The 16943-nt window shown below is 44.6% G+C and overlaps 1 annotated feature.

Annotated features, from left to right (window-relative positions):
• Window positions 4322-4371: an enhancer, noted in NCBI's record as "active region_27715". NCBI's record gives its function as "activates an Ori minimal core promoter by ATAC-STARR-seq in GM12878 lymphoblastoid cells {active_cell/tissue: GM12878}" and the evidence as "EXISTENCE:reporter gene assay evidence [ECO:0000049][PMID:35858748]".

The following is a 16943-nucleotide window of genomic DNA, read 5'->3' on the forward strand; positions in this document are numbered from 1 at the left end:
AGAAGCTGAGGGCAGAGGCAGCTGTTGGAGGTGCTGGAGGGTTTGGGAGGAGATTTATGGGCCATGTGGGAGCAGTGGGCTCAGTGTGCGGCCAGTGCATGGGGGAGGAAACTGAGGCAAGGGTCCACAGGAAAGAGCAGAGGCCGATGCCAGAAGCAGAGGGCTCTGTGATCTGCAGGTCCTCCCCATTGTCCTCCTTTTGCTGGTCTGCTGTGGTCTCAAAGCAATATACTTCCCAGACTGCTTCACAGAGTGTTTCTGAAAATTAAGAGTCATTTCTTCATTCATTCATTGAGTAGCAGTTGAGCAACCACTCTGTACCAGACGCATAAAATAATAAATTTGATCATCTCTATCAACAAGAATAACGAGGAAACAGGTTTGAGAGTAATGAGGAGGGAGCGAGAGCAAGAGAAAGTGAGTTCTGATACATTTCTTATGCTTTTGTCAATAATTAAATCTGTTCTTAAGGTGGGGCACGGTGGTAGCTCACGCCTGTAATCCCAGCGCTTTGGGAGGCCGAGATGGGAAGATTGCTTGAAATCAGGAGTTCCAGACCAGTCTGGGCAACATAGCATGATGCTGTCTCTGTTTTTTCTTTTTTCTTTTTTTTTTTTGCTGTCTCTATTAAAAAAAAAAAAAATCTGTTCTTAAGAAGCACCTCCCTGTCCTATAATTCTGCATTCTAGATGAAAGCAGAATAGAAACATCACCATTTCATGAGGGTAGAGCTGAGCACTTGGCCACCTCATACACCAGCAAGCCCCATATACATCCACCAGAGTGTCTTCACAATGTCAAGCCCTCGTTTCAGTGTTTACTCCTGGGCCCTCCCCTCTGCCACGCCCAGCCACCTCTTATTGGTTAGTGGGATAATAGTAACATTACTGAAAGCCTACTCCTGCCAACATTTCTGCTCCTACCTCTTGTCAATATTAGTGTGATTCTCAACCCATCCTTTCGGAATATACCATAGTCCCTGTGCCCAGCCTTCCATTTGAGTCTGTGAGAGCTAAAGACTCAGGCACCGCTGACGTTGTGCTATTCACACACAGGCACATGCCTATCCTAGAACTGACTTAGGGGGGTTTTCCCAGATTACATTTTTACATTTAATTTTTGTGTGTTTTTTATAGGCAGATTTAGATACGGCAAGAATGTGCCTGCATGTGCACACGTGCACATATATGCAGGCATGCATGCACGCATGTACCACTAGAGTGTAAAGTATCTTTTGGCCCAGTCCCTTAGGTCACCTGAAATGCTTCTAGTTCACAGGTGCTGTGAGCGGGTCACATTCTAGTAGTGGTGCTCTAGGGTGGTTCTAGGGCCATCTTTGCTGAAAGAGCAGGACACATGGGTATTGGGCACCTGCTTTTCCTCCCCCAGAGCAGCTGGGAAGTGCTAGATTGTCCTTGTGAGAGTCTGACCTTGCCTTGGAGCAAAGAGAGATGAGAGGCTCCCAAAACACCATGGGAGTGTGTGCGTGTGTGTGTGTGTATATGTGTGTGCGCGCGCACGCACAGGGCTATTTGGTGCTTGGAAAGATTGAGCCTCAGCCTTCTGGAATGCATGTCCTACTGAGGACTTCTAGCTCTTCCTGGATCCTTATATGCCCATTTGCTATTGTAAATAGCTATATGACGTTGTGATACTATTCCAAACCCTAGTCATAGCAACCACATACCTAATAGCCAAGGGATAACCATACTATCTTCCCTTTCTGAAGAACCTTTCAGCAAAAGATTTCAGGGAATTTTACCAAGAAAACCATCCCATCCCCTCCTCCTTCCATTTGACAGGTGGAGAAGTGAGGCACAGTGAAGCCAGAGGAGCCTGGTCAGACGGTGAGTCAGAAGTAGAGCAGGGCTGCACCTGGTGACACCTATTTCCTCCCTTGTGGTTTGGCCCCTGCCTCATAGGCTTCCTGGAAAGGTGTAGCTTCTTCATGGCTTACTTGTTGAGTAAACACTGCTATGAGCTTTCAAATATTTCCCTAGGTTGCAGGAGGTTGTGTCTCTCAGCAAAAAGTAAGTGTTGAGGCTGAGCACAATGGCTCGCACCTGTTATCCCAGGCCTTTGGGAGGCCAAGGCAGGAGGATCACTTGAGCCCAGGAGATTGAGACCAGCCTGGGCAACATGGTGAAACCCTGTGATATGGTTTGGCTGTGTCCCCACCCAAATCTCATCTTGAATTGTAGTTCCCATAATCCCTTGGTATTATGGAAGGGACCAGGTGGAGATAATTGAATCATGGGGGCAGTTTCCCTCATCCTGTTCTCATGATAGTGAGTTAGTTCTCATGAGATCTGATGGTTTTATAAGGGGCTTCCCCCTTTGCTGGGCACTTATTCTTCTTGCTGCTGCCATGTGAAGAAGGAACTGTTTGCTTCCGTTTCTGCCATGATTGTAAGTTTCCTGAGGCCTCCCCAGCCATGCTGAACTCTGAGTCAGTTAAACCTCTTTTCTTTATAAATTACCCAGGCTCAGGGAGTTCTTTATAGCAGCATAAGAATGGACTAATACACCCTGTATCTTCCAAAAATTTAAAAATTAGCCGGGCATGGTGGCATGTGCCCTATAGTCCCAGCTACTTGGGAGGCTGAGATGAGAGGATAGCTCGGGCCTGGGAGGTCAAGTAAGCCAAGATCATGCCACTGTACTCCAACCTGGTCAACAGAGCAAGACCCTGTCTCAAAAAAATAAGTAAATAAATATAAATAAAGTAAGCACTGTACAATTAAAAGGGCTTGTTGGTCACCTCTGGTCAACCCAGCGCAGGAATTATTTGTGCTCCTCAGGGTGCACTCTCTTGCTATTGAGATCTGTTGCAACACCTTTCAGCAGTTCTTTGGCAAAATTACTGCTTAGTAAGCCCCACAATGTCACAACCCATCTTCTACCACAGTTTGTGACCACTACTGGGATATCCGGGGCATCTATTTCATCTGGTGTCATATCATCCCATTTCCATGAAGATCAGCTTCGGCAAACTTTTTGTCCCTTGACTTTTCACGTTGCCACCAGTTTTGTCCCTGGATTCTTTTTCCCAGGGGAGCACTTTGCTCTTCCCTAATCTGAAGAAAGGATTGGAAGCAATCACACTTCTCCCTTTATTGAGAATAAGACTTATATTTGTCAAGGTCTCAAAAATTTAGGGTTTTATAGAGATAAGGGCAAAGAAGAAATGTTCCCAAGGATAAGAAAATAGAAGGACCTCTGATTCCATCACAACATAATCATGACATGGGAGTTCAAAACAATTGCTTCTATTGCCAACTGGTGATCATTCCTTTCCACTTTTACAGTCAGAAACTCTATGAATATATTTTTTAAAGATAGGTGTGAGAGAAAGCAGGTTTGGTTTCCATTTTTCCTTTGGTAGATAGTAAGCTATGAATGCTTTCTTTAAGAGTATTTGTAAATGTGCCCGGAGGTTAATGAAAACTGAGAACATTTGATGCGGCAAAATAATGCCAGCTTTGTGTGTTCTCCCGGAAGTTCCCTGAGCTTGGATCTTAAGTTGGAACCATTTTCTCCAACATCTTAAAAGATTACATGACATAAAAAGCAGAGAAACTTGGTATACTCTAGAAAAGTAATATTTACAAGCAAATAAAGGAGTGCCTCAATTTATCTGTAGATAAGTGAACATTCAGAAAAAAAAATCTCTGAGGTGCTAAAACAGTTATGACAAAGCCCAAGCACTTATGTATTGCTAACTAGGCGAGCGTCCCTTCGATGATGCTTCGAGGCTATTGTTTCCACCTCATTTCTACAAGACTTAGTTATATTAGAAGTTATCTACAGTTATCTGTAGAAGACAGATCCCAGCCAATAGGAAAGGAGCATTTGAAAAGGGGCAACATTTGGGGCAAGCAGGGATCAGATAACAGAAGTGACATCTAGGAGTGATGGCTAGAAAAGAGACAACAAATAATTACGTTTAAAGCATCATTTAAGAATGATTAACCATAACCGTAAGCATGATTTATGATGAAAGAATTAGAATATGTTCATCATCATCCTCTACTGAACAGAGCAAGGATATATGTAATTCATTTCAGGTATTCTGTCAAAACGTGGCTAGGAAGATAGGCTGCATGTGCAAGCGTGGGAACCACCCCCTTAAATGAAATGCAATGTTGCTCAGCAAGGAAGAACTCCCGAGACATCCTTCCACCGTCGTGCCATTGGAGGGCATGGCGCCGGCTTCCTTCCTGAGTCACTCACTGTTTACGGGCAGCCGCTGGCTTCCAGGCCGCGTCCCCTCCAGTAAAAAGGGGGCGTGCTTGGTAGAGATCCTTGAGACCTTTGATGGCAGGATCTGAAACAAGGCCAGGCCCCATTATAGGGCAATTACCCTTCAGGCTGATTGGTGCAGAGACGCTGTAAACGCACCTTTGCGGAACACAGACGACACAGGAAAGACGTTTGGCAGTAATACTACGACAGCGAGGGGCCCGGGAAGCCCGCGGAAACGCAGGAGGCGGCCAGGAGAGGCAGCGCTACGCACATCCCCCCCACCTTCGGAGCCCTGTCCTAGCTTAGGCTGAGACAACTGGGAGGGGCTGGCTTCTTTGTTCCCCTCTTTCCCCGCAACCTGCCAGAGGGAACTGGAGAGAGGGGTCCTCCTAGCTTTAGGCACACTTAAAGCAGCCTGCCAGGAAGGAAATGCGGGGGCTCCACCTTAGAGGCGGTCGAGGCCAGCGTGAAAGCACAGGGTGGCGACCACTTCCCCCACCCCCCACCCCGGTTCTCATCCCCGGCCTACCCTCCTGCCTCCTGCCCAGAGCCCAGACTACATGCAAGGCCTTGCGCCAGATCCTGGAGATGCCACGATGAAGGTGGGAGGTGACATTTTAAAATATCCCTCAATTCCAGCACTTTGAGAGGCCGAGGGGGGCGGATCACTTGAGATTAGGAGTTCGAGACCAGCCTGGCCAACATGGTAAAACCCTATCTCTACTAAAAATAAAAGAATTCGCCGGGCATAGTGATGCACGCCTGTAATCCCAGCTATTCCGGAGGCTGAGGCAGGAGAATCACTTGAACCCAGGAGAGGTTGCAGTGAGCCGAGATCGTGCCACTGCACTCCAGCCTGGGTGAAAAAGCCAGACCTTGTCTCAAAACAACAGCAGCAGCAGCAGCAGCAGCAGCAGCAGCAACAACAAAGCCACAACAATACTGATGGAGGTTTTCTCCCCAGCTTCCTGTCTCTGGTCTGCACTGCCCAATAGGAAGTCACTAGCCACATGTGGCCATTGAGCTCTTGAAATGTGGCTGGCGCTGTCAGTGTAAAATATGCACCAAGATCAGAAGGCTTGGTACAAAGAAAAAACAAATTATCTCATTAATAACCTTTTTATATTGATTACATGTTGAAATAATAACATTTCGGATATATGGGTCAAATAAACTATATTAAAATTAATGACACCTGTTTCTATTTGCATTTTTTTCGGGTTTGTTTGTTTGTTTGTTTGCTTTTTTTTTTTTTTTTTTTGAGATGAAGTCTCGATCTGTCACCCAGGCAGGAGTGCAGTGGCATGATGTCAGCTCACTGCAACCTCTGCCTCTCAGGTTCAAGCGATTCTCCCATCTCAGCCTCCAGAGTAGCTGGGACTACAGGTACGCATCACCACAACCAGCTATTTTTTTTGTATTTTTAGTAGAGACAGGGTTTCACCATGTTGGCCAGGCTGGTCTCAGACTCCTGACCTCAAGTGATCCACATGCCTCGGCCTCTCAAAGTGCTGGGATTACAGGCATAAGCCACCGTGCCCAGCCTCTTTTTGCACTTTTTAGTGAGGCTACTGCAAAATTTACAATTATACAGATGGCTTGCATTATATTTTTCCTGGATGGTGCTGCTCCAGGCAGCTCCCACTGAGGCAGCTCAGGTTGGAAGTCCTTGGCTAACTCCCTTAGTGTCTCAGAAGGGAAGGGGTCTTTCCTAGCCTTTGAGTTTCAATAGTTTGGGCCTGTGGGGAAAGGGAAGCACTCTAGCAAAAGCAGTAGATCCAAGAAGGGTCCACGAGATTTCCAAGCCACCTTCCCACCCTACCTCCCAGATCAGGTAAGGAGTCCTCAGGGTGGAGGGAGCGGGGAGAGCTCAGGTTCTGGGGAGTCCCTGAGAACATCAGGGGAAGGATATCGGGCACAGCACAGAATCTTACTGAGCACTGGGCATGTGTGCCTGGCACTGTTCTAGGCCCTGGGCTTTCAATGGTGAGACGCAGACAGAGTCCATTTCCCCAGGGTGTGTAAGACAGAGCATAAACCTGTGAACAAATGATATTTTAAAATTTCAGGCACTGCCAAGTGCAACAAGGACTCACTGATGTGTTTGTGGGACTGGACAGCACCACGTAGAGCTTGGGTCCCATTCTGCTGCCCTCCCTAAGTAAAACAGCCCAGGGTGGAGGTGGCTGTGTGATGGGTCCAGGTGTTACCGGTGGAGGGTGTCCAGGTTCTTGGTGTCTTGAACAAAGATTTGGACAAAACACACAAACAAAGCAAGGAAAGAATGAAGTAACAAAAGCAGAGATTTATTGAAAATGAAAGTACATTCCACAGCATGGGAGCAGGCCAAGCGTAGGAGCTTAAGGGCCCTGTTAGAGAATTTTTGGGAGTTTAAGGGCTGGGCGTGGTGGCTCACACCTGTAATCCCAGCACTTTGGGAGGCTGAGGCGGGCAGATCACGAGGTCAGGAGATCGAGACCATCCTGGCTAACACGGTGAAACCCCGTCTCTACTAAAAATACAAAAACAAAATTAGCCAGGCGTGGTGACGGGCACCTGTAGTCCCGGCTACTTGGGAGGCTGAGGTGGGAGAATGGCATGAACCTGGGAGGTGGAGCTTGCAGTGAGCCGAGATTGTGCCACTGCACTCCAGCCTGGGTGACAGAGCGAGACTCCGTCTCAAAAAAAAAAAAAAAAAAAAAGAGAGAATTTTTGGGAGTTTAAATACCCTCTAGAGGTTTCCATTGGTTACTTGGTATATTCCCTATGTAAATGAAGAGGATGAAGTAAAGTTACAAAGTCATTTACTCGGTGTACGCCCTATGAAGGGGATATTTCCTGGCATAGCTGAAGTGTGAATTGGCCTTATGTTCCCTGCCCCCACACCCTACTTTCCTGCCTCACAGGCACACGGCAAAGGCAGTGCCCCAGGTCTACCTGGGTCAGCCATAGAGCAGGCAACAGAGGACCTGAGGCTGCCTAGAGAGCTGGGCCCATAGAGGCCACGTGGTCAGAGCTGGTGTTAAGAAGCAGGTGGTGAGAACTGGGGCCCCTGGAGCGACGGGGCACCCTGTGTCTAAGCTGGGGCTATGGCTCAGCTTCAGCAGATTCTTGCCGTAAAGAAACATGAGCCCGGTACTAGCAGATCTAATTTTTCAGGAGAAATAAGAAATCTGGATTTCATGTGAACTATTCCAACTTTTAAACTTTTGCATGAAAAAAGTTCCCCTGTGTAGGCCAAAGGAAAGTTATCTGCAAGCCAGATGTGGCCTCCAACTACAATATGGAACTTGGTCTTGTTGGAACTCAGAAAAAAAATACCCCAAAGTAAGGGGCTTTGGCATGCTGAGAGCTTTGAACTGAAGGAAATTGGAAGTCCTCAGAAGCAGCCTCAGGTGCAAGTTCTCTCTGACCTTCTCCTGCCCTCTGTCTCTTGTCCCTCTTTTTCCCCTGAAGCAAGTCATAGAAACCAGAATTCCTCTTCCCCAAGGTGGGCAATAGAAACTAGAACCCTTCTCCCCTACAGCAAGCAGTAACGTCTAGAAAGGCCACACTCTCCCTTTTCCCTTGAAGACCCTCATTCCAAGAGGGGTCCTGCCCCACACCCGGGAAGAAGAAATGCTACACAGAGCCCAAGAAGAATCTGAGCAGATGGTCCCCCCTCAGTCCATTACCATTAGATCACACCCTTTTGCCCATCACATTTCTGCACTGCTGTCCCTGCTTTGTTGAACCTAAGCATAAAAATGGACCATTTTTCCTTTGGGTCTTTGGGTCTGAATAGTCCTGTGTCACATAAAACTTTGATTAAGCAAATCTGTTACGTTTTTCCCTTGTTAACCTGTCTGTTATAGAAATGTCGGCTGTGACCCTTATGATGCGCGAGGAAAGGGATCACACCTTTCCGCCCCTACAGTAGAAACTGAGGCAGTACCCTGGGGTGACTTGTTTCCTCCACTCACCACCCTCCAGCCACCGGAAGCGTCCTTCTGCTCCTTGACCATCACCTCTGGGGACTTTGTGCACAGCTCCAGTTTGTACCCTCCCCTCTACCTTCCCCCATGCCCTCACCCTTTTGCTGGGTGACTCCTATTTCCCCTTAAGGGCTTAGCAGAGCATTCGTTTTCAAACATTCCTTGCTGCAGCCCAGAATAAGGAATGCATTTAATATCAAGTCCCAGAACATAAATACAACAGAGCTATTTGTTACGTAGTGGAGGATGGGGCTTTCAGAATGGAAGGTGAGCAAAAATGAGTCTAGGTAAGACTGAAAATGCAATAACATTGTCTCAACATTAATTCAGCTACTATTTATTGAGTATTTACAGTCTACGTGGTGACGGGGACACAGGGATGAGCAACTGTACAATTATGCTTTAAATATTCCTATTTATTGAGTTCCTACTACTTATAAGGTATTTTAACTGTTTACTGACTTCAGGGATCACTGCAAGCTAACAGTCTAGTGGAGATGTAAGAAAGTATTTACAATAATCGCTAAAACAACGGTCTTTGGTCGGCCATGGTGGCTCATGACTACAATCCCAGCAGTTTGGGAGGCTGAGGCAGGAGGATCACTTGAGTCTGGGAGTTTGAGACCAGTCTGGGCAACATAGTGAGACCCCGTCTCTACAGAAAATGAATAAAAATAGCCAGGCATGGTGGCATGGACCTGTAGCCCCAGCTACTCTGGAGGCTGAGGCAAGAGGATCACTTGAGCTGGGAGGTTGAGGCTGCAGTGAGCCAAGGAAATGCCACTGCACTCCAGCCTGGATAACAGAGCAAGACTCTGTCTCAAAACAACAACAAAACAAAACAAAACAATAGTCTTTGACTTCTAGTGTATTAATAAAATCCATAGACTATTCATGATGGTGAGTGAGGTGTTGGATAATTTCTTTTGATGATCATCACCCAGTTTCAGGTTTTAGCCCACCAAGCCATCAGGTGTATCCATTTTCAAACCTATAACCTTCTACTTAGTGTGGTTGACCTGTCTATTGTAATAGAGTTTTGCTATCCACTCACTGTTTCTCTGAGAATACTGATCCCATTTGCCTGCTTTGTAGATTATTTTACAAACACATATGGTAAAATTTCTGTCTTACACATAATGTAGCTAAGCTAACTCTCAGGACTCACCTTGCCTTTCTTTTTTTTTTTTTTTGAGACGAAGTTTCACTCTTATTGCCCAGGCTGGAGTGCAATGGCGTGATCTCTGCTCACTGCAACCTCCGCCTCCCGGGTTCAAGCCATTCTCCTGCCTCAACCTCCTGAGTAGCTGGGCTTACAGGCATGCACCACCATGCCCGGCTAATTTTTTATTTTTAGTAGAAACAGGGTTTCTCCATGTTGGCCAGGCTGGTCTCGAACTCCTGACCTCAAGTGATCCGCCTGCTTCGGCCTCCCAAAGTGCTGGGATTATAGGCATGAGCCACTGCGCCCGGCCTCATCTGGCCTTTCTAATTCACCAGACCTTGTGCCATAGCTGCTAATTAAACTTTCTAAAAGTGGCTGTTACTAGTCATTGTAACCCTTATCATTCATTTTTTAAAAATCCATTTGTTTCATTAATTTGTAAATGTATTTCATTTATTTACGTTTTTCAACTTGTGTCTCTGAATGTAATTTCTCCTTGGAGGTTTTTCTACTGTGTCAACCCAGGGAGTCTATCCTTTAAGCTTTAACCAACATTTAGGTTTTCTTGCCATAATTAAAGTTAAAAATGTGTTGTTTAATCTGCCTTGCAGAAAAGTAGGAGCCCTGCTGGAATTCCTAAAAATGTTTTGTAATAATCTAGTTAGCGCGATATTAGACTTTTTTCTTGTGTTTATAATTTAGATTTTCTCCCCTTAGCTTTATTTCATTATGTCTGATTAAATCTGTTATATGATGCAACTTAATTTCCCAGCCTTTGTGTTTTGAACCAACATATGCTTAACTACTGTACAATTATGATTCATCCCCCCAACTTACATTAAACTGCCCCACTCTCCAGTCCTCCTGCTCCAGAGCCAACTTGGGGCATTTATGAAGCTTTGGTCTCTCTCATATGGGAGTAACAGGCCTTTAGGGCTTCCTCGGTAGGAAGTGGGGCATGTTCCATACCCACACACATACAGTGGGCACGTCCCCAAACATAGGAGGGGGTTAAGATGCTTGGCTCCTGTTCCCCTACCTGCCAAAGTATGACTATCCCTTACAGTTAGGCAAGCTCGCCAGAGATATACTGTACCTTTACAGTAGGAGACTGAGGGGCAGCCGTGTGATCTGTGGTCTTTCTTTTTCTTTTTTCTTTTTTTTTTTTTTTTTGAGACGGAGTCTCGCTCTGTTGCCCAGGGTGGAGTGCAGTGGTGCAATCTCAGCTCACTACAACCTCCACCTCCCGGGCTTAAGTGATACTCCTGCCTCAGCCTCCTGAGTAGCTGGGATTACAGGCACCTGCCACCACGCCCAGCTAATTTTTGTATTTTTAGTAGAGATGAGGTTTCACCATGTTGGCCAGGCTGGTCTCGAACTCCTGACCTCAGATGATCCACCCACCTCAGCCTCCCAAAAGGTTGGGATTACAGGCATGAGCCACTGTGCCCAGCCAATCTGTGGTCTTTCTTTCCCACTCCCAGCTTCTATGTCTGTGGAAATAGGAAATGTATTAGTGGAGCGTTTACCCAGTTGTTTGAAGGGAAAGACCTGTTCAAAGGCTCCTGGGAGGAACTTAGTCATGTGGCCACACAGCTGCAAGGGAGCCTGGGAAATGTGGTCTTTGCTTGAGCAAAGACCTGCTATCATGGAAAAAAGGGGAGAATGGATAGAGGCACAACTAGAAGTGGGCCAGAGGTATCAAGAAGCACTCCCAAGCAGAACCACAAACCTGCAGTCCAGAGCTCAGGAGGCCAACGTGATAGCTGGGAGTCAGTCAAGTTCTCAGCACACCTGCTGTCACCACTGGTGACATCTTAAAGGCACTGTGTGGCTTCTGAGGCTGCTGGAGGGAGTATTATTTTCAGGAGTCCACAAGGACCAACAAATGTGTTTCCCACTGAGATTTTTTTGAGGATTTGAATTCCTTAGCATATCTTAGGCTTTCTGGCGAACTAGGTGGATTTTAGCTGGCCTCCCTCTGCCCATGGTGACCTTATTTCCAGAACAACAAAGAAGGGCATGCATGCTGACAGGTGGCTTGACTGTAGATCTGGATACCTAAACATTTCTGGAAATTTCAGCAAGTGTGGTCATCCTGCTGTTGCTTGTATAGTATAATTATGTCCTGCTCCTGTAATAGTCACTGAAGGGGGCCTTTGGGATGCCTCTACTTTCCCAATAGAGCTGTTCTTCACAGAGCTCCACACCCGTTCTTGGCAAGCCACTCTTGTGCAAAAACACAATGGCATGAAATTGTGGGGGGAAAAAAAACAGTCCGGGTGCAGTGGCTCATGCCTGTAATCCCAAAACTTTGGGAAGCTGAGGCGGGCAGATCATGAGGTCAGGAGTTCGAGATCAGCCTGGCCAACATGGGAAAACTCTGTCTCTACTAAAAATACAAAACTTAGCTGGGCATGGTGGTGTGCGCATGTAATGCCAGTTACACAGGAGGCTGAGGCAGGATAATTGCTTGAGCCCGAGAGGTGGAGGTTGCAGTGAGCCGAAATCATGCCACTGCACTCCAGCCTGGGTGACAGAGAAAGACACTGTCCAAAGAAAAAAAAAACAAAAACCAAAACAATAGTTATATAAAATAGATTGATTTCCAATTAAGAGAAAAGGAAAGAGTTGCAGCCATATCTCCACAATAGTCATTAAACAACACTGTCTGGAGCAGGATAAAGTTAGAAACATTCAGCAATAGAGAACAGAAAGGACACCCAGATAATTCACAGAAGATAAATTCTTATCACTGGAGTGGCCAAGATATAATTTTCATGATGGTAAAAATATTAATCAAATCTTATTGTTTTTCAGCAAAGAAATCCAGATTCCTTACCCTGGCATTCAGGACTTTCAAAATTAAGGTCTTAATCTCATTTATGAGCATAGATGCAAAAACACCAAGTGAAATATTATTTAAATGGTGCATTATTACCAAGTAGGGCTAATTTTAGGGATGCAAAAGTGGTTCAACACTAGGAAATCTATTAATGTAATTCAATACATTAATTAATAGTTTAAAGGAGAAAAACCATTTGAGTATCTCAGTAGATGGTGAACAAGCTTTTGATTAAATTCAACGCCATTGCTATTAAAGACTCTTACTAGATGAAAAATATGGAAATAGCTACTGGAAACACACAGCAAACATCACACTGAATGGAGTAAAAGTAATATTCTCACAAAGACACGAAGAAGATGGTGATGCCTCCTACCATCGCTACTATTCAGTGGAGTCTGCTAAAAGTCTCAGTGAACCAATAAAATACGTACAAGAAAAGCAGTATAAAGATTGGAAGGGGCAGAGCACAGTGGCTCATGCCTGTAATCCCAGTACTTTGGGAGGCCCAGGCGGGCAGATCACCTGAGGTCAGGAGTTCGAGACCAGCCTGACCAATATGGCAAAACGCTGTCTCTACCAAAAAATATAAAAGTTAGCCAGGTGTAGTGGCGGGCACCTGTAATCCCAGTAACTAGGGAGGCTGAGGCAGAAGAATTGCTTGAACCATGGAGGTGGAGGTTGCAGTGAGCTGAGATAGTGCCGTTACATTCCAGCCTGAGCCACAGAGTGAGACCCTGTCTCAAAAAAAAAAAAAAAAAAAAAAAAAAGATGGGAAGGAAGTGATCAACTGCCACTATTTGTAAACCATATCATTATCCAGATAGAAAATGCATGATAATAAAATGAGAAATTATCAGATTAATAAGAAAGATACAAAATCAATACATCAGAATACTACAAAAAATACAAAATACTTACGCATAAGTACCATCAGAAATATGGGAGATCTATAATTATAAAAGATCTAAAATTATCAAAGTTTATTGAAGAACATAAAAGAAGACCAAAAGAAGGTGAAAGATATTCTAGCTGCTGAATGAGAAAACTTGTTACTGTCTAGATGTCAGTTTTTAAAAAATTAATCTATAAATTTAATTCACTCCTAATCAAAATTTTAACTGGATTTTTTGGTAGCTCTTGATACACTGATTTTGAAGTTCATGTGTGTGGATTATTTCTGAAAGGGCAGATAAACTGGTAAAGCCTATTGAGGGGGAATTGAATGATAGAATTTAGGGGAGGGAGACTTAGTCATTGTCTACCTTATTGTGTCTTTTGTATTTGGGTAATATGTGCATGTTTCCCCTAGACAACAAACTAAATAAAATTAAAATATAGGGCTTATTCAGGGAAAATCTATTTAAGAAAAACAAGATGTTTTTGGGAAAAAAGGTATCACGTTATCAAATAGGAAAACATAATCAAGCCATAATTCAAGGTTTTGTTACTGGGGCAGAGATAATTGAACACACCAGTGGGACAGAATAGAGAGTTAAAAACAGTCATGTAGGGCTGGGCATGGTGGGTCATGCCCGTAATCCCAGCACTTTAGGAGGTTGAGACAGGAGAATTGCTTGAGCCCAGGAGTTTGATACTAGCCTGGGCAACATAGTGAGACACTGTCTCTACAAAAAATACACACACACACGCACACACACACACACACACAAATTAGCCCGGTGCGGTGGCACATGCCTGTAGTCCCAGCTACTCAGGAGGCTGAAGTGGGAGGATCACTTGAGCCCAGGAAGTGGAGGCTGCAGTGAGCCGTAATTGCTCACTGGACTCCGGCCTGGGTGACAGAGTGATACTCTGTCTCAAAACAACAGCCAAAACATGCAAAAAAAGCCAACAACAAAAACAGTTATGTATATATGGCAATGTATGATAAAGGCAGCATTTAAAATCAACGGGTAAAATAATGGACTATTAAATAGATATTGAGCCTCTCAGTTCCTTCTCTGTATAGTGGTTATAGTGACTTCATAGGATTCTTGGAAGGGTTATGGAATATGATTCAGCCTTAAAAAAGAAGGAAATTCTGACACATGTTCCAACATGGATGAACCTTGAGGACACTATGCTGAGTGAAATAAACCAGTCATGGAAGGACAAACAGTGTATGATTCTACTTATAACTTATATGAGGTACCTTGAGCAATCAAAATCTTTTTTTATTTGAGACAGAGTCTCGCTCTTGTTGTCCAGGCTAGAGTGCAATGGCACGATCTCAGCTCACTGCAACCTCCGCCTCCTGGGTTCGAGTGATTCTCCTGCCTCAGCCTCCTAAGTAGCTGGGATTACAGGTGTCTGCCACCATGTCTGGCCAATTTTTGTATTTTTAGTAGAGATGGGGTTCACCATGTTGGTCAGGCTGGTCTCGAACTCCTGACCTTATGATCTGCCTGCCTCGGCCTCCTAAAGTGCTGGGATTACAGGCATGAGCCACTGCACCTAGCCGAGTAGTCAAAATCTTAGAGAGTAGAGTGGTTGTTGCCAGGGGCTAAGGGGAGGGGGAAATGGGGAATGAGTGTTTAGTGGGTACAAAGTTTCAGCTTGGGGAGATGAAGAAGTTCTGGAGATGGATGGTGGTGATGGTTGCATGATAATGTGAATGTACTTAATGCCATAGAACAATGCACTTCCAAATTGTTAAAATGGTAAGTTTTATGTTATATTACTACAATTTAAAAAACAAAACATAATAACCATTAAAAAAGAAAAACAAGACAAAACAAACAAAAAACCACACCAAACCACCGTGTGATATGTATTATTGATAATTCCAACTGTTGGAGGATTACAACAAACTCAGAATGTTTAATGTGGCCTTTCATTTAGATTTATTTATTTATTTATTTACTTGAGACGGGGTCTTGTTCTGTCACTCAGGCTGGAGTGCAGTTGCAAAACCACGGATTCCTGATCTCAAGCGATCCTCCCACCTCAGCCTCCTGAGTAACTGGGATTATAGGCATGTGCCACCATGTCCAGTTACTTTTTAAATTTTTAGTAGATGAGGTATCACTATGTTGCCCAGGCTGGTCTGGAACTCCTGGGCTCAAGTGATCCTCCCACCTTGGCCTCCCAAAGTGCTGGGAATACAGGCATGAGCCACCTTGCCCAGCCAGTTTTTTTAAAAAAAATTGTCAGTCCTTCAAAATAATTATAAACAGGGCATAAATGGCAAATGACCAGGCTTAACAGGAGAACGTAAGTTTAATGACAGGATCTAGTGCAATACTATACATGGTAAGACTTTACTGTTTTTACGTAAAGACTTTCCCAGAAAGTCTTCCAAATCTCTTTTTTAAAGGTGAGTTGGGGTGGGAAATGGGCTTCAGTGATTGTCACTTTGAGCAGCGCCTGGGCTGCCTCCATAAAGAAGCCAGGTGGCCAGGACTGGACAGACACAGGGGCTGATGTGGGTGTCGGTGGATGGGCAGCAGCCTGAGACCAGCCCCCCTCAGCAAGGCTGTGATGGATACATTAGCACGTGGGATAGGGTAGGGAGGAGAAAGAAGCAGGTGTTTCCATCGCTACCCTTTGTGTCACTTCGTGTTGGCACCTTTCCAGATTATTCAGTTTTTCCTCTAGACCCTGAGTTTCTTTGTCAGGGTCTTCGGGAAAGGATAAAGAGCAGAAAACAAGCATCTTCATGCCTGTCTTGACCTTTCTTCCTATGTAGGACTGAGTCCAACTCATGGCCCTGGATTCCTTCTTGATACTAAGCGTCCCTTTCCCACAGTCCACCTCTTGGCTGCTAAGCCTTCTCACCCCCAGCCAACCCACAGACAAGGGCCCCATCTGACACTAGCCCCACATCCAAGGCGTCCTTTCTGCCTCTCACTGGAGGAGAGTATGAGCTCCGCAAAGGCTCCCTGGCCACATGTCCCAGGGCGTAAGGAATTCTGTGGACTGGAGGATTTCCACTGTGCTTCGACGCTCTGTGAATCCGGGAGCTGCCAGCTATACTCGTTTACAGTGGGGTGAGGTGGCTAACAAAATGAGTTAAAAAATAATTGCTCTGGCATCTTTTCTCCCACCAAGTAACATTCTCAGCTCTCAGCAGGGAGTTGAAATGAACCCAAAGTAGGAAACTGATATTTTAATTTGAATTGAAACTGAACTCAAATAACAATATTGTTCTCTCTTTGAAGCTTGAACTAAATCTGACCTAGACAAAATCCAGAAAATTTCTTAACCTATTCCTCCTCTCCAAAAACAACCTGCAGTGACAGCCTCGATCCTTCTGAATTCTGAACCTGCTTCATGTTTTATTATATTTTTCCAACTGAGTAGAGTGATATGTTAAATAATTTTTTAAAATTTATTACCATGATAGAAGCATGATCTCTTAAGCAACATTATATCTTTGCTGTTGAAAGGAGTTGATAAACTTCAAAGGTTTTATTTAATTAGAAAAAATTTTAAAACTGGTGTGAAATTAATATGAGGTTTAATACTGTATTTTCATGTTTTTGTGTTTCTTTTTAAAGGGATAAACTCAAGCAGCTACATAAAAAATAATTTTAAAAAGCTTAGTGAACATTATAGCCCCAAATTTTTGTTGCTAGGTCTGTAAAGAATTTCCGTATGAGAGAGTATGGTGGTAGGAAATGTAGAATCCATGAGTGTCATCGTTTGAATGTGTCCTTCAAAGTTCATGTGCTGGAAACTTAATCGCCAATGCAACATTGTTGAGAGGTGG

This window comes from Homo sapiens, chromosome 8, assembly GCF_000001405.40.
Source record: "Homo sapiens chromosome 8, GRCh38.p14 Primary Assembly".
NCBI lineage: Eukaryota > Metazoa > Chordata > Mammalia > Primates > Hominidae > Homo > Homo sapiens.